The 17688-nt window shown below is 45.2% G+C and overlaps 1 protein-coding gene, 1 long non-coding RNA gene and 1 pseudogene across 5 annotated transcripts, besides 2 other annotated features; 1 reads left to right on the plus strand and 2 right to left on the minus strand.

Moving 5' to 3' along the window:
- Positions 1-4039: 4039 nt before the first annotated feature.
- Positions 4040-5012, minus strand: DEFA10P (defensin alpha 10, pseudogene; annotated as a pseudogene). The gene is made up of 2 exons (NR_029386.1): positions 4829-5012; positions 4040-4146 (listed from the first exon to the last, which is right to left on the minus strand). The product of NR_029386.1 is annotated as a defensin alpha 10, pseudogene (transcript).
- Positions 7093-7593: an enhancer, noted in NCBI's record as "H3K4me1 hESC enhancer chr8:6828716-6829216 (GRCh37/hg19 assembly coordinates)". NCBI's record gives its function as "activates a minimal SCP1, AML or CMV promoter by ChIP-STARR-seq in naive H9 embryonic stem cells {active_cell/tissue: H9 hESC(naive)}" and the evidence as "EXISTENCE:reporter gene assay evidence [ECO:0000049][PMID:30033119]".
- Positions 7594-8094: an enhancer, noted in NCBI's record as "H3K4me1 hESC enhancer chr8:6829217-6829717 (GRCh37/hg19 assembly coordinates)". NCBI's record gives its function as "activates a minimal SCP1, AML or CMV promoter by ChIP-STARR-seq in naive H9 embryonic stem cells {active_cell/tissue: H9 hESC(naive)}" and the evidence as "EXISTENCE:reporter gene assay evidence [ECO:0000049][PMID:30033119]".
- LOC124901873 (uncharacterized) lies at positions 9785-14445 on the plus strand. Of its 2 annotated transcripts, none has more exons than XR_007060787.1 (2): positions 9785-10045; positions 14228-14445. It is a non-coding gene; the product is annotated as an uncharacterized LOC124901873 (long non-coding RNA). The 2 variants fall into 2 exon arrangements; XR_007060786.1 differs by lacking the exon at positions 9785-10045 and adding an exon at positions 11215-11286.
- Positions 13548-15991, minus strand: DEFA1 (defensin alpha 1). 2 transcript variants are annotated; one of them, XM_011534740.4, is made up of 4 exons: positions 15912-15991; positions 15016-15059; positions 14359-14545; positions 13548-13778 (listed from the first exon to the last, which is right to left on the minus strand). In XM_011534740.4, the coding sequence occupies exons 2-4, from the start codon at positions 15022-15024 to the stop codon at positions 13669-13671; spliced, it is 306 nt and encodes a 101-aa protein (XP_011533042.1). In that variant the 5' UTR covers positions 15025-15059; positions 15912-15991; the 3' UTR covers positions 13548-13668. The 2 variants fall into 2 exon arrangements, with proteins under 2 accessions (XP_011533042.1, NP_004075.1); NM_004084.4 differs by lacking the exon at positions 15016-15059.
- Between the last annotated feature and the right edge of the window lie 1697 nt (positions 15992-17688).

A 17688-nucleotide genomic window follows, 5' to 3' on the forward strand; every position in this document is an offset into this window, starting at 1 on the left:
TGCATCCAGCTGGCCATATCATTATCTCCAGTCTGTGGAGAGGTCAACAGTACTCCTAGCTACCATTTTCTGAGAGAAATAAGTCTCTTTACTCAGTAATGATGATCAATGGGAATTCTGACTGGTGGCGTCTGGTAATAAACTTGACTTCAGCTACTTAAAGGATGTGGACCAAAATATCAGATCCCAGATGCTTCACATGAAATCCCAAAGGAGGGGCTTTACAAAGGCTTGAGCTGAGGAGAGCCTGTGATGCTCATGTAAGACTCTCAGTCAGCAAATATCCCTTGAGCATCAGCAGCTGTCAGGTTCTAGGCTCAGAACACAAATAACCCAGCAGCTTACAGAAGCCAGCACTGCAGAATTCAGAGGATAGAGAGTATAGGGTATGAATGAAGTATATGGAATTTGGCATCGGTCTTGTTGCTCAATAATTTTTGACTTTGATTAAGGTAAATAATCTGTCTAATGTTCATTTTCTCCTTAATGTATATTTCTGGAAAAAATATTTAATGGTAATTGAGAGTTAGTAGGATTAATGTGAGTATTAGTTATTATAATGGATGGATATTTCTTAGTAATCAATTCATATTAGCTAATATTAGTATATTAAATCTTTTTGTGTTTTGAGAATACTGTCTGGCCTATAGGAGTTATCCAATTAATAGCACTTTTATGATGTCAGACAATGCTGCCTTCAACCCATCATAAATGGGAAGAACATATTAGTGTTCTCATTTTACAGAATACTATAGTTTGATCCATAGGATTAAAGTGTTGCCTCCAAGGATAAAGGTCCAGCATCGTCAAAGCTAGGTTGGAATCCCAGGCCCCTTTTTCCAAATCCCTTCATCTGCTTATGGCATGGGTTCCCAACCCCTGTGCTGAGGACCAGTACCGGTCCATGGCCTGTTAGGAACCGGGGCACACAGAAGGAGGTGAGCGAACATTACCGCCTGAGCTCTACCTCCTGTCAGATTAACGGTGACATTCGATTCTTATAGGAATGTGGACCCTATTGTGAACTGTGCACTCGAGGGATCTAGGCTGTGTGCTCCTTATCAGAATCTAACTAATGCCTGATGATACGAGGTAGAATAGTTTCATCCAGAAACAATCCCTCAGCCCCCCCACCCATGGAAAAATTGTCTTACAACTGTCATTGGTGCCAAAAAACGTGTCCCCAGTAAGTGCCTAACTAAAGTCAAGTGACACTGTGGAGCAGTAGAGGCTTCATGTCCTTCTTGAAGCAGGACAGGACTGGGGCAAGGAGAGAGGTGAGAGATTAAGTTCCAAGTGTGGAGAACAGTGTGTAGAGGAAATGTATGAAGACGTTCAGTAGGACGCTGTGTAGACTGTGCTCACTGAAGGAAGGTTGTAAACATGGGGAATGGCAAGTGAGTTTAGACTGGAAATTGTGGATGAGAAGATTCCTGGAGATTTTCTAGACACAGCTTCACATCTTAAGGATGAGGGCTTAAGAATAGAAGGGGGTGAGTGGAAATGAAACTGCCAAGCACACTTTTCTTTGTGCTTCCATGCCCTGTAGGGATTCAGAGCCTCACAGGGGAAGCCCTACAATGAGACAGGGATGCTATGTCTTGGGATAATCACATTGTGAAAACATGGCCCACCTCTGACTTATTCTTTATCGTTCGATCACATGAGTGGATTCTTTAAAATGCCTAGTAGGTCTTCAGTGTACATACAGAGTTTGTGTTTTCAATAATCATTTCGTGGTCTTATTTGAGGCTGCGAAAATTACCCTGGTTGTCTGGAGACCCTCACATCTCTCCCTGCATTCTCCGTCCCTAGAGTTTGCTGCTTTCATTGGCCACCCTGGACTGCAGTAGCAGAAGCCACATGTGGTGCCCCAGTTGAGGACGATGGGATGCTCCGTCCTCATCTGCCCCCTTCCCTTGGATTGATGGATACTTCTCACCATGTCGGCCGGAATTCTGCTCTACTCTTCTCTGTTGCAAAAGCAATTCCTCTAAATTCACTGGAGGTCTATCTGACCCTTCATACTTCTTGTCCCAATGCCATTTTCTTTACCTAGAATACTGCTCTACCTCTTCTTTTTAATGTATTGAATTTTTCAATATCTTGTATGTTTCAGTTAAAGATATATCATAAACTCTTGTCTTGCCACTACAGGCCAAAATGGCTAGTTCTTCATTAGAAGGTAGTGATGCTTCACAAAGCCATTTTCTACTCATGATATTCTCCTGTTGGTTTAAATGATTTTTATTGATTTTTAAAGCAATGCTGTCACATGGACTAGGCACATGGGTGCTTTATCCCCATAGGTGTCAGGTTTATTCTACGAAGTTTTGTAATAACAATGTAATTTTGTAATAATATGTGATGTTAGATATGACTAATTAATGTAATCATAATGAATTTGCTGATCCTCTACTATTTATTAGGGAGTCGTCTGTGTACTGTGGCCCAACAATGAGTAAAACTTGCAGCTCACCTTCTAGAGTAGGGAGGCAAACATTACAGAAAGCAGGTGAAATGTACAGAATGTAAGATGGTGTGAAACTCTACAGTTTAAAATAAGAGAAGAAGGGGATTGAGGTTTCCAGGGGGAACTAGTTGCAATTTAAAATTGAGAAATCAGCAAAGCCCTCAGTGACAAAGGGAAGTTTTAGCAGAGACTCCAGGATCTGGGGTGCAAGAAAGGTGGACTTCTGGGTGAAGTGCAAAAGCCGTGTGAGGGAGTCAGCCCAGCCCAGCGGACAGTTAGGAGCAGTATGCAGAGTTAAAGCAAGCACCATGTGACTTCAAGTCAGTGGCAGTTATAGGAACCCAAGGAATGTTGTCTGGCCATTGCATTCTCAATCTTAATGTGTGTCCTTCCTTCTCTAAAGAAGAGGTAGAGCTGGGACCATTTATGTGTCAGTCATAGGCTCATCTATAGTCCCTAAGATCTGTATTGAGTTCCCCAGCCATGCAGCATCTCAGTGGGGTGCCTGGATCCCTGAGCTGCCACTTCAGACAGGCAGAGCCTCAGTCTGGGGCCGAGACCTGCTCAGAATCTGCATGAGGTGGACGTGGGGAATGCCTACTCCTTCCTCCTGGGGTCTGGGCATTTGTGGTTGGTGTTGGTGGCTTCCCCATCCATGCAGTGTCTCAGTGGGGTGCCTGGACCTCTGAGCTGCCTCAGCACCCTGCAACAACAAGAAGGCTACGATTTTCCCGGTGAAATGCTTTCCCTCCCTCATCACTTATCCCCTATGAAGCTGTATTTTCCAGGCAGATTCAGTTCTCAGAAGCTTTAAGGCAACACAAGAGAGTGCCTGTTGCAAAGTGCAGTGGAGCATTTGTGTGTGTGCATTTTCTGGGTGTGAAGAAGAGTTTATGGATGTGAAATCCAGGTCTTAGTAGACATGGCTGGAGGGTGCTCTTAATGAGGACATGCCAGTGTAAGCTGCTGTGCTTTCTGTTCCATGCATCCCACCTTTGCTAACAACACATTTCCCTCTTACAGAAAGTTTTTTCCGTGGATCTCATGTAACCCTATGTCTTAAAAGGAAAATGTACAATCTGACATTGTTCAATGAAACTCCAATTCTTTAGCACAGAGGATGGTGGTTTTCCCGGAGAAGTAATGATTTTGTGACTGCATGAACTTTAAGCTGACACCGATTGTTTGCCCAGTACACGGGAGGGAGCTCTTTGAGTGGATCCAGAGAAAATGAGACAGAGTGAAAAGACAGAGCAGTGGATGGGGAGATTGGTGGTGTCATATGGGCCTTCTTTTCAATTAGAGTCTGAAGCCAAAACTCCTGCTTGAAATTCCTAGAATTTGGAATTTTGTTTTGTTTAAAAACTTAGGATTCTGGTAGGTGCATGCCAAGTGTCTTGAGACACAAAGACACATCAAATGTGAAAGAGATGTAAAGACAGAAATCTTGCGATAAGGTATTTATTTAGGATGAGAAAATGAAATTAAGGACAAGGTACAGGAATAACAAGAATTTCTTTTACTCTCAAAGTAAATAATGAGCTTATTTTTCTTGATTCTGCAAGCTCAGCAGCAGCAGATCCGGTATAATCTACCAGGAAGGGCACAGGACCCAAAGCGACGTTGAAAGAAATGGCAAATTCCTCGTCTGCAAATGCACCTCAAGCCTCTCCCTGAGCCTGGGGACACAGGGACAGCATCAGAAATGGATCACCAAGGTCAACAGTGGGTTGTAAAGGGAATCTTGGAGAAGTCACGTGCCAGCTGATGAGTGATGTTGTCTGCATTAGGGCCGGTAGCATGAACAACCTCAGTCAATAGGAATAAATACACAGAGCAGTGCTGGTCACACAGGATTTGAGACTCATTCTCATTTGCTCTCATTTTTGTGCTTCTGCCCCATCACACACACACCTGAACACACTCTTAGGCTTGGCTCTACTTTTAAAAAACCATTCTATAGATACAGTAAAATATTCTCCTTATAATGAAATCTACTTGTTTAGATCCAGAAAGAAGTAGTCAGACTGTCTCTTCATATCTTAAACCTACTGAGTTTCACAGGCATATCTTGGAATCAAGTCTTTCCTTTTTATTTATTTTTTCTAAAGTGAAAGGATTATTAAGAAAGTAAAAGAGTAAAATAATGGCTGCTCTCCATGCAGAGCAGCCTTAAGTCTTTAAAGACAGAAAACCTGTTAGATTTATTGGGCTCTCTCTTCAATTTATAGATGAGAATACCAAGGACCAGAGATGCTAAATGAAGCCACCTAAGTGACATGGACCATTGAGACTCGATTCCAGACTCTCTCTCCCGTCCAACCCTCTAGACTGTGCAGCTCTCTGCATGCCGGCCTGTCTCACCTGAAAGTGGAAGTGCAGCGCTTTCATCCCATGTAAAGGAAACAGACACTTCCTGATCATCTGCTCCAGGCTACTCCTGGGCTGCAGCTTCATCAGCTCTTGCCCGAAGTGGCTCCGCCTGAGCCTGCAGGGCCACAAAGAGAACGGTGGCAGTGAGGAGGGCAAGGGTCCTCATGGCTACAGAGACTTGGAGGAGGGAGAGCAGGAGCAGATGTGTGGGGAGAGAGGAGTTAGCCTGGGTTTATAGGTCTGCAGAGAGAAGGCTCAGAGACCAGAAACTTTGAAACTTCTCAGTGAGAGGAGGTGTGCATTTCATCGGGGATTGTGTGGGATCCCTTTGGTCTCAGTGTCCCTCTTTTCCTCCTTTGATCTCTCAGCTTTTATTGTAGTGTGAATCTCTATTCACACTAGAAAGTGTGAGTAGATGGATCAGGTGTTTGGAGAAGATGGTGAAGATGAGGATCCTGGCATGTTTTTCCTGTTTCTCACTTCATTCCATATTTACTTTTTAATAACCAAAAGATAACAGCAGTGCTTTTGTTCAGTAAGTTCAGGGAGCAAATGTGTCATTTTCTGCAGATGGCCCCACTACTTCCTGGAGGTCTACACTCTGGCAGCAGGCATAAATTCCTATCAAGTGAAGAGTCATTTGTTGCAGGCATCAAGGGCGTGACCACCCTCATGAAGTCATGGGGTTAGTAGTCTCTTGTAGGAGCCAGTGTGAAGAGGACCATGACCCTATCACGTGATAGGTGAAATGAACACAGTGACATCGAGGTAAAAAGTTCATCTACATCCAAAAGAAATTTTTCCAGCTCTACTGAGATATGAATAAGAATTAAAAATGGTACAGATCTACTGTATACTGCGTTAGGATTTGATGTTCATATACATGTGGTTTTTTATCATATACTAGGTACACAAATCAACTCAAAATGTTTTGAAGACCCAAACATAGACCTGAAACCATAAAATGATGAGAGGAACATATGAAGATAATGCTTTGACGTTGATGTTGGTAATGATATCTTTGCTATGGCAGCAAAGACACAGGCAATGAAAAGAAAAATAGACAAGTGGGGCTGCATTGAACATTAAAGCATCTGAATGGCAAAAATCAAAAAGACAAACAACTGAGTGAAAAAGTGACCCAGAACATGAGAGAAAATATTTGCAAACCCTAAGTGGTAGAAGGGGTAAATATCCAAATACATAAGTAAGTCAAACAACTCAATAGCAAATAACAAATAACCTGATTGAAAAACAGGCCAAGGAGCAGGATAGGCTCCTCTCAAAATAAAATAATGTTTCAAGGCGCTACTATTGTCTCTGTTAGACACGTCAAGTAGGACACGCGTATTTCGAAGGAAATTTCCTGAGTTTCTCTATTAACTTAGCTGGTAGCCAATGCCCCAGGCAACCACCAGAGGTTCAGAGAGAAATGCACAGCAGGGGATTCACCCACTAGGTCCCTCTGGGGTGGTCCAGGAGTCACAGGTCAGACTGGGGGCACAGGCTCAATGTTGAAACCTCAATGTGAGAGTTTAAGGTCTGTGTTAATTACAGCTCCTGAAGTTAGGCAGAGTGACCAGAGAGGGCAGACAGCAGTCCTCTGTCCCTGGTCTCCTGTAGCAAGAGCAGCCGTGCACAAACAGGAGGGGACTTCCCTATTTAAGGGTGATTTGGGATCAGGTATCCTAATATCCTGGGTTACTTTCTGTTGGGTACATTAAATAACTCTGGTGGCAAGGGCAGTTGAGAAATTTGGAGGGACGCTGTGGTGTAGACATGAGTCCACAGAGAACCCCGCATCTAACTCGGTCAGCCCTGGCCAGGCCCAGGCAGCAACCAATGATAGATTCCATGACTCCTAAGACAATGGACCCCGAGATGCCTGTGCTGATGGCTCAGGCTGAGGTAATTGCACCCAGGGAATACTTAAAGCCCCCAGGAGAGCCTGGCCTGCATATCACAGGATACACTCTGTTAGGGAGACAAGTTACGACAGACACCCATGCACAGGAGAGGATGAGGAATCTTGCCTGAACCAGCCTCCCAAGTACCTGTGCTCTAACCGTAACAACACATCAAAGCCGATTGGCTGGGTTGGGATGTTGCAGACCACCTGGTTGAGACTGAATCCCACGTCGGCTTGTGTTACCAGGCAGGGCAGGTTTTGTTGGGTTTGTTAAGGATGTGCACACAGCATGTGGTTCCCGGGAGCGGACAATTGCCTCGTTGCTTGGGCAATGGACAGTTTAAGGCTAAACGAGTGTCTAGGACCACTGGCGCCAAGGACTCCTGAGTTTCCTGCTTGAGATCTAATGTCTTTTGGAAGTCTCTCAGGGAGGCGGCCAAGGTGGAAGCAAGATGGGTGTTAGCTTACATCACCTGGTGCTGTGTTCTCAAATACCTTGCTCTTAAGTCAATTCTGGGCAGGCTTAAGAGCCTCCATACACACGGCGTGAGTGGGAAGATCACTGGTCACTCGAGATATGCAGGATTGAGCTCCTGTGGTCCCTCCTGTGTTATTTCAGGAGAAGTCCTAGGAAAACTAGAGCACATTTTAAAATGTACCACTATCCACCCTCCTCCTCCTTCTCATAGTGAGGTAGATGTGATAAGGTTTCTGGAAATGAGAAAAGAAAGCAGTCACTCGAGAGGCAGTAAATACCTATGGTGAGGTTGCTGAACCCAGTGTACAGGCCAGACAGCCCCTGCTGCCATGGGAAGGTCATGCACAGCGCTGGTCCCACAGGCTGGGTGCTCAGGGCCTCCCCTGCAGCTCTGTGTGCAGGCAGCAGGCATCGGCCGGTGGAGGCCTGGGGGCAGTGGAGTGAGAACTAAAGCATCTCCCTCAACCTTAAGGTAGAGGAGGCATCTCAAGCCTTGCTAGGGGCGGTCACTGTGGCAGAGCAGTGGGGTCTCCTGTCCCTCTGAGGAAGCAGTGAATTCCTGATGTGTGGCAGGCCCAGGAACTTCAGCTTTGGAGGAAGTGAGCACCAGTCTCACCCCAGCATAAGAAGAAATTTGGGCTCTTTGGGGAAACTGAGGCTCTGGTGACAGTTTTAGCTTCCAGGGCATTAGTAGGTGCCTGTAGGGTCGCAATGATGAGGTTATAGGGACTAAATATGAAGGGGTGTATATGAGCGAGAGGAAGATCTCTGGGTTCTGGAAATGTCCCATGTCCTGCGGAAGTGAAACCTGGACCTGCTTCCTGCACACAGAGCACACTCCAGTCCACAGGCATTTCCGCAGCACTGCATGAGCGTTATCACTGGAGAGCTGGTGAGATTCGGGCGTGGTATTCTTACACACAGTTCTCCCAAGTCCATAGTTTTCCGTAGCTTGTAGGGCAGCTTTACAATCTCACTGAGGCTCTATGGGTTCCTTGCACCATAAAGTAATGGGCTTATTCTGAAAGCAAATGGTGATCTCAGCAAAATTCCACTCTAATGAGGTCATTTTTGGGGTAATCAGCAAAGCATGAGGTCAGGGAAGCAGCAAGTCAAGGGTTTGGGTACTGGCCATGAGCCAGCACCGTGTACTGGAGATGGCAAGGTCCGTGTTTGTAGCAGTAAGGAAAGGCTGGTTGGTGGTGATCTCGTGGTCAAAGTGATTTTCCTCTACAAGGGACTTAAACAAATAAGTAAGCAAAAAAGAAATGACCCCTTTAAAATGCGTGCCAGGGCATGAACAGATACTTCTCAAAAAAAAGACATACAAGAGGCCAAGAAACATGAAAAAATGCTCCACATTACTGATCATTAGAGAAATGCAAAATAAAACCTCAAAGGGATACCAGCTCACACTAGTCAGAATGGCTGTTATTGAAAAGTTAAAAAATACTGATATTGGCAAGACTGCAGAGAAAGAGAACGCTTATACACTGTTGAGGGGAATGTTAATGAGTTCAGCCATAGTGGAAAGCAGTTTAGAGATTTCGCAAATAACTTAAAATAGAACCAGCATTCAACCAAGGAATCTCACTACTGGGTATATATCCAAAGGAAAACAAATTATTCTGCCAAAAAGACACATGTACTCGTATGTTCATGGCAGCATCATTCATGCTAACAAAGACATGGAGTCAACCTAGATGGCCATCAGTGTTGGACTGGATGAAGAAAATGTGGTACATATACATGATGGGATACTACATTCATAAAAGAGAATGAAATTATGTCATCTGCAGCGAGTTGGATTCAGTGAGAAGGTGCCGTCTATGAATCACAAAACTGGTCCTCACCAGACACCAAGTGTGTTGGCACCTTGTTTTGGACTTCTCAGCCTCGAGAACACCAAGACATATATTTCTGTTGTTTCTAAGTCACTTGGTGTATGGTATTTTTTTCCAGCACTCCACATACACTCAGATTGCTTGTGTCTTTGAAGCCCGGATACCATGCTTGGAGGAAGTCTAAGTGTTGCAAATCCTGCTAGCTATGAGTGGGATACAAAGTGTCACACCAATCTCCTCCTTCATGAACCGGCATGATCTGACGTCAGTGCCTCACAGGGTCTCACCCCTGAGCCCTGTCAGAGCTGCAGCTGAGCCAGCACCCCCTGCCACCTGTTCACAAGTGTCTTGGGCCTGAGGTTTTCAGATCCCAGCAGCACTTCTCCTCTGATGCCTGTGGAGAGAGCCACCTCCCAATTGCAAATGTGTGAATGAAGACCTGATCATGTTGTTTTAATCCATTAAGTCTTGTGGTGTCTTTTCATAGAGCCCTAGATGAACAGAGGGCAATTTTCACAGTATTGGTGACAAATTGGACTTGTACTTTGTGTGTGTGTGTAAATCTCAGCTTCTCTAAAATATTGATGAAATAGGAGAGAACTTTCTCAATTGAATCCCAAAGTGTCACAAAGAGCCCATTGTGGTGGGGGCATGGAATTGTGGACTCTTTGGAGTGACTGAGGAACCCGGTCTCACCCATTCTTAGTTTGAATTTTTCCTGTGGGGAGCTGGGGTAGTGTGGGATCCAGGTGGAGTCTCAACCTCTCCCCTCAGTGACAGACTCAGAAGAGGGTGCGGAACTCCAGAGCTGGCTGAAACAACGGAGAGAGAAGTAGGGGTTTTCTCCCGGAGATCAGCTATGAAGTCCCAGGGAGGATGACCATTATTCACACGACTGTCATCTGGGGAGAGACCCCAAGTTAAGATCAAGAGAAAAAAGCGGGAAACAAAATGGTAAAGACAACAAGGTAACTCATGCCTAGAGTCCTTGGATCAGGCATTTTATGAAGCCAGAAGCCTTTCTTTTCTTTTCTTTCTTTCTTTCTTTCTTTCTTTCTTTCTTTCTTTCTTTCTTTCTTTCTTTCTTTTTTTTCTTTTCTTTTCTTTTTTTTTTTTGAGGCAGAGTGTAGATCTGTCACCCACGCTGGAGTGCAGTGGCGCGATCTTGGCTCACTGCAACCTCCACCTCCCAGGTTGAAGCGATTCTCCTGCCTCAGCCTCCTGAGTAGCTGAGATTACAGGCACCCACCACCACACCCGGCTAATTTTTCTATTTTTAGTAGTAGAGACAGTTTTCACCGTGTTGCGCTGTCTGGTCTTGAACTCCTGACCTCATGATCCACCCTCCTTGGCTTCCCGAAGTGTTTGGATTACAGGTGTGACCCACTGTTCAGGTGGGGCATTCAAAATGTTAATTCAGCTTGTTGTGGTTTCTTAAATTTGAGTGCACAACTCCGCTAATATGCCTGAAAAAGATACAACAAAAATTACCCAGATAAGAGAAGCTGAGGCAAAATGGTGCAGTGCATAAGAATAGGAAATGAGAGCGGATGGCAGGTGTCCTGGGTGCAGCCTGGAGAAGAGACTCCTGGATGATTCCCATGCACAGCCCTGGGGGAGAACAGCCTTATTGATGCTGATCAGCAGAGAAGGAGGGACGGCTATGTGAGAGGCTGGAGGACAATGGGTGTGTCAGGGACAGGAATTTCATAAGTGATGTTCAGAGATGGAGGAATTCCAGGTGGTGCAGGAGTTAGGGAGTAGCCATGGGGTGGAAGGCTGGAACGAGGTGGCAGTCCCTGTTATCCAGGAGGACACAGAATTGAGATGTTGGGAGGTTGACTTCTAGGAAATGTTAGAGTGAGCTCTTTCCCTTAGTTTCTTCATGAGTTATTTGTTTTTTTCGTGAACACGGAAAAAATACAGATATTCCTAAAATGGAATGAGTTCTTTTCAGATCTCTTTCCTTCTGGTTTTGCTTATAAGCCGAGTTTAGAAAATCAGAACAGTAACAGCAAAAGAAACCTATTTCATTTTTTGTACAAGTAAAAATTAACCAAGACCTTTTAAAAATGTGAAGGAAGCACTTATTGAAGACTGTTGAAATGGGAGTCAGAACGTTGCAACAGGGAGAGCCGTTGGCCTCAACTTTCCTGAAGCCAAAGCGGGAAGGTTAAGGCCTGGGTGAGCTAGCGGAAATGCACTGGAGGTTGGTAGTGGGAGTCTTGCAGTGTGATTGGGCCATCTGCGTTTGCTAGTTTGTGCTTATTGGAGTTAGGCTCCTGCCTGCCTACAGAGACAGGGCTGCTGTCCCCTTGAGTAGTTACATTTAAAGGGATGAGGCATCTAACTTATTCCTTATTTCCTTGTCCTGCCGCATGAATGGCTCATTTCCGGTAGAAAAGTTCTTGCATGTCATCACTAATCCTAGAGTGTATGTGCATCCCAGTAAACAGTGTTGTGCCTCATTTGAGGCTGAGTAAGTTGCCCTGGTTGTTTGGAGACCCTCACACCTCTCCCTGAATTCTCCGTCCCTAGAGTTTGCAGCAGTCATCGCCCACCCTAGACTGCAGTAGCAGAAGCCACATGTGGTGCTCCCAGTGTGCCTTTATCCACACAGAGGAGCAGGGAGGCTCCGTTCTCATCTGGCCCTTTCCCTTGGATTGATGGATGCTTCTCAGCACATCAGCCTGAATTCTACTCCGTCCTTCTCTCTGGCAACATCCATTCCTCTGAATTCAGTGGAGGTCCACCCTCATCCTGCATAGCTCTTGCCCTGATAGCATTCTGTCCACCAAACATTTCATTCTACCTCTTCTTTTAGTCATTCCATGTTTTAAACATATTGATGTTGTACTTGAAGATTCACATGGAATCTTTTTGCCTGCTTTAGCCGGAATGGCCTGCTTCTTCTAAGGTCCTAAAGCTTCATGATGCCAAATAGTACCCATGATGTTTTTTCATGTTTCAGCCTTGAATACTTTTATTTATTTTGTTTTTTAAAGGTGTGCTGTCATAGGGTCTAGAAAATGGACTGCTCTACCTCTGTTGAATTTAGTTTTTTCCTATGGAATTTAGGAATAACAATTAATAAATAATTTTATATTGTTATGTGCTATTAGATGCAATTAGTTAATGTAATCAGAATTAATTTAGTAACCCCCTACTTTATGTTACAGTCATCCATGCACTCTGGTACAACAATAAGCAAAACATGCAGCTTCCCTTCTGGAGTAAGGAGGCAAATGTTACGTTTAGTAAGTGAAGTGTACAGGGAGTGAGACGGTTGCAATTCTATAGTTAGCAATGAGGAAAATCGGAGAATGGAGGTCAGCAGGGGGATCTTGTTGCAATTTAAGGTTGAGAGATCAGAAAAGACCTCAGTGACCAAGTGAAGTTTTAGCTGAGACCTCAGATGCTTGGGAGAAAGTCAGGTGGACCTCTGGCAGATGCCCCAAGATGCAGCCATCTTGATCCATTTCATAGTTCAGAATACTATGGAAAGTTAATTCGGGGACCACATGATTCCAAGTCCATGGCAGTCACAGGAAGCCAAAGAAGGCTCCTGGGCTTCACACCGTGATTCCCTATTTGTGTCCTTCATCACCTAAACAAGAAGAAGTCTGGGATCATTACCCACTCTGTCCTCCCAGGGTTCTTGGTGGGCTTCCATATCCATGCAGTGTCTCAGTGGGTACCTGGGCCCCTGGGCTGCCTCAGCCCCCTGCAGCAACAAGAACGCTACCATGTTCCTGGTGAAATGCTTTCCCTCCCTTGTCCCTTATCCCCTCTGAAGCTGTATTTTCCAGGCAGAATCAGGTTCTCAGCAGCTTTAGGGTAACACAAGAGGGTGCGCGTTGCAAAGTGCGGTGGAGCATTTGTGTGTGTGTGTTTTCTGGGTGTGAAGACAACTTTATGATTGTGAAATCCAGGTCTTAGTAGACGTGGCTGGAGGGTCCTCTTAATGAGGACGTGCCAATGTGAGATGCTGTGCTTTCTGTTCCATGTATCCCGCCTTTGCTAACAACCCATTTCCCTCTGAATGAAAGTTTTTTCCGTGGATCTCATGTAACCCTATGTCTTAAAAGGAAAATGTACAATCTGACATTGTTCAATGAAACTCCAATTCTTTAGCACAGAGGATGGTTTTTTTTTCCCGGAGAAGTAATGATTTTGTGACTGCATGAAATGTAAGCTGACACCGATTGTTTGCCCAGCACACGCGAGCTCTTTGAGAGTGGATCCAGAGAAAATGAGGCAGGGTGAAAAGGCAGAGCAGTGGGTGGGGAAATCAGTGGTGTCATATGGGCCTTCTTTTCAATTTGGATCTGAAGCCCAAACTCCTGCTTGAAATTCCTAGAATTTGGAATTTTATATTGTTCAAAAATTTGATTTTGCGTTTTGGTACGTGTATCCCAAGTGTCTTGACACAGACACATATCACACATTAAAGAGGTGGAAACACAGAAATCTTGTAACAAGGCATTTATTTGGGATGAGGAAAGGAAATTGAGCAGAAGGTACAGGAGTAATAGCAATTCCCTGTAGCTCTCAAAGCAAATTTTGAGCTCATTTTTCTTTTTCTGCAAGCTCAGCAGCAGAATGCCCAGAGTCTTCCCTGGTAGATGCAGGTTCCATAGCGACGTTCTCCTGCAATGCACGCTGGTATTCTGCAATAGCAGGCCATGTTTTTCCTTGAGCCTGGGACAGGGAGAGCATGAGAAATTGAGTATGGAGTTAGCAGTGGGTAAGAAAAAGAATCTCGGGGAAGTCACATGCTAGCTGACAGGTGATGCTGGCTGCATTGCAGCCGTTAGCACGAACAACCTCAGTCGATAGGAATAAACACGCAGAGCAGTGCTTGTCACTCAGAATTTGAGACTCATTCTCCTTTGCTCTCATTTTTGCATTCCTGCCCCATCACACACACACCTGAACATATCCTCAGGCTTGGCTGCAGTTTTTAAAAGCTCTTCTGTAGATAGAGTAAAATGTTCTCTTTACAACTAAGTCTACTTGTTTAGATCCAGAAATAACTAGTCTGTCTCTTCATATCTGAAACTTAGTGAATTTCACAGACGTTTCTTGGAATCAAGTCTTTGGAGAAATAAAGTTTCTCATGTTTATTTGGCTCTCTGTTCAATTTCTAGATGAGAAAATCAATGCCCAGAGATTCTAAGTGAAGCCACCTCAGTGACATAGACTGCTGAGACCCAACTCTGGAACCTCTCTCCCGTCCTTCCCTCTAGACTTAGCAGCTCTGCATGCCTGCCTCTCTCACCTGGATGCTTTGGAGCCAAGCTTTCGTCCCATGCAAGGGAAACAACCACTTCTGGGATGTCCGCTGCAATCTGCTCCGGGGCTGCAGCAACCTCATCAGCTCTTGCCTGGAGTGGCTCAGCCTGGGCCTGCAGGGCCACCAGGAGAATGGCAGCAAGGATGGCGAGGGTCCTCATGGCTGGGGTCACCTGGAGGAGGGAGAGCAGGAGCAGCTGTGTGGGGAGGGAGGAGCCAGCCTGGATTTATAGCTCTACTGGGAGAAGGCTCGGAGACAAGAAACCTTCCTCAATCTCAGTGAGAGGAGGTGTGCATTTTATAAGAGAGGCCCATTGGTCTCAAGGTTGCTCGAATGCTCCTGTTCTCCCAGTTTCATGCTAGTATACATCTGTACCTTTAATGTCTGTGCTAGGTTGGAGCTAATAATGACAAGAAAGACCCTGCTATGTTACTCGTGGGTTCACCTGCTTAAATATTATGATTCACTTTTTAACATTCCAAAAAGAATAGAAATTGCACTTTGATTCAACAGGCTCAGGGAACAAATGCTTCTTATTTTCTGAAGATGGGTCCTGCTGTTCTCTGGAGGTCTAGATTCTGGTGTCCTATATGAGTTCCAATGGAATAGCGAGTAATTCACTTCAGGATTCAGGTGACTTACCATCCTCATGAAGAGGTTTTTGAGGTTATGGGGTGAGTAGTCTCCTGTAGGAATCAGGGTGGAGAGGACAATGATTTTATCAGGCTAAAGGTGAAATCAGCTCAGTGACACAGAGTGGTTTAAGTAAAAAAAAGAAAGTTTATTATTTCCACCTCTACTTAGACTTGAGTAACAATTAACAATTGTATATTTATAGTGTACACTACCTCATGATTTTATATATGTATGTATTTAAATCTTTATCTCACACCATGTAGAAACATCAACTCAGAATGAATTGAAAACCTAAATGTAACAACTGAAACCATAAACTACTAGAAGTGTATAGAAGGATAAAGCTTTTGACATTGATGTAGGTAATGATTTCTTGGCTATGACACCAAAGGCACAGGCAATAAAAGGGAAAATAGACAAGTGTGGCTTCATTTAACGCTAAAGCATCTGCACAGCAAAGGAAACAATCAACCGAGTGAAAAGATAACCCAGAAAATGAGAGAAAATATTTGCAAAACCTACATGGCCGAAGGGGCAAATATCTGAATACATAAGGAATTCCAACAACTCAATAGCAAAAATCAAACAACCTGATTGAAAAACAGACCAAGGACCTAAATAGGTTTCTCTCAAAAGAATGTTCCAAAGACCTGTGATAGTCTCTACTGGACATGTCAACCAGGACATGTGACATGTGTGTTTAGAAGGAAACTGCTTGAGTTTCTCTATTAAGTTAGCTGGAAGCCATCGTCCCCAGCAGTCACCAGAGGTCCGGACAGACGTTCCTAGCAGGGATTCGCCCGCTGGTTCCCTCTGGGGTGGCCCCACAGTCAGAGGTCAGATTGGAGGCATAGCTTCAATAATGAAAACTCAGTGTAAAGTTTAAGTTTTGTAGTACTTACAGATCCTCTAGCTAGGCAGGGTGACCAGAGAGGGCAGACAGCAGTCCTCTGTCCCAGGTCTTCTATAGCAAGGAGCAGCCGTGCACAAGTGGACTTCCCCTATTTAAAGGTCTTTTGGGATGAGGTGTCCTAATTTCCGGGGTTACTTTCTGTTGGGTCCATTAAATAATTGTGGTGGCAAGGACAGTTGAGAAATTTGGTGGGAAGGTGAGGTTAAAGTAGAACTCCACAGAGGAACCTCTCATCTACCTTGGTCAGCCCTGGCCAGGCCCAGGCAGCAACCAACTATGGATTCTCAATGGCTCCTAACACAGTTGACCCTGTGATGCATTGGCTGTGGCTAAGCTGAACTACCTGCACCAAGGGAATATTTAAGGCCTCTGGGACAGCCTGGCTGCGTATCACAGTATACGCCCTGCAAAGAGATTGGGATAGGAATGCCACCTGCACACAGAGGAGGATTTGGAATGTGTTTCTAAAGCAGTGTCCCGAGGACCTGGGGTCTAACCATAAAAACTAATGAAAGCCATTTGGCTGAGCTGGGATGTTGGAGAACACCCAGGTGAGACTGAGTGCTACCTGGGCTTCTGTTGCTATGTGGAACAGACATTTTTGGGTTCTCCTGAGTACTGGATGTACACGCGGCATGTGGTTCCCCAGAGGTGACTATCACCTGTTTGCTTGGCCAATGAACAGTTTAAGCTTAAACAATTGTCTAGGATCATCTGGGCCAAGAACTGGTCTGAGGCATTAGCCATCAGGGTGGGAGTGGCCTTTCCAGATGGCCACCCAAGAAAGGAGGTGGGAGTCTGGGCATTCACTTTACTGCTGGTGTTGCACAGCCTCTCAGGCCTTGTGGGCCTTCAGAGAAGCATTCAGCAAAAGCTTGAGTGGTGCTTTCTGGGAGGCATAGGAGTTTCCATCCTTCACTGGTACACATCGGAGAACAGGTGTATCCCTGAGCCCATGATCATGTCTGGATGCTTTCTGTGAATGCAATGCTCCAACTCTTCAGGCTGCAGTCTGGGTGTGTGCTGCGGCGTCATGAGCCCATTTGGATTGAAGCCTGTGCATCCAGAGAACTACCTCCTCATCCTTAAAACACGATCTGTGGTTGTGAGGGCTGCTGGTGTTTAAGCATTGGTGCCATGGGACCCATTCAATATCTAAGGGTTGAGTTGCCCGCCTTGGACACAGGTCAGGTTGTATCTGGGGTGCAGCCCCTGTAACAGGGCTTACAGGGAATTCCCCAGTTTTCCAGTCTGGGGTACAAATTCTGACTAGGGCTGTCCTGTTCCAGCAGCCCTCTAGGCTGCCAGGCCTGGGTTAAACAGCTACCCCACAAGCCATTTGTACATAAGATACCAAGCAAGGCCAATCATAGAGAACACTGACATCTTGTCACTCAGGGCTTTCTTCCCAGTGCTTCTATATTGACACTGATGATGGGGTTGGCTGGCACCCACTTTTCCTTGGAGCCTTTCTCCCCCATGGCCACGTTTGGTGATGGCACTTCCATATGGTCTTTGCCTGACGTAGTTGGTGTCTCTAGTTTGAAGGCTTCTTCTCCTCGTTACTGCCTCTGACTGCACCCTCGGTGGGTTCTGGAGCAATAATCCCTACTTCCTGCCAGGAGAAGTAAGTGGGAAATATTAGCTAACCTTTAAAACCGGTAAAAAAGGGAGCTTTTGCCAGAAGCTGCATGTGAAATGGAGAGGTGTGGTCTAACAAAAGCCTCGTGGTCCTGCTGGGTGCCAGTGGGCCTGGGGGGTTATCC

This window comes from Homo sapiens, chromosome 8 (assembly GCF_000001405.40).
Source record: "Homo sapiens chromosome 8, GRCh38.p14 Primary Assembly".
NCBI classification, from domain to species: domain Eukaryota; kingdom Metazoa; phylum Chordata; class Mammalia; order Primates; family Hominidae; genus Homo; species Homo sapiens.

What these genes read in the sequence shown, in the direction of transcription:
- DEFA1 (XM_011534740.4), bottom strand. An exon ending in CTTGGCTCCAAAGCATCCAG is followed by an intron (nt 13,779 to 14,358) that starts GTGAGAGAGGCA and finishes TCCCTGTCCCAG; the next exon opens with GCTCAAGGAAAAACATGGCC.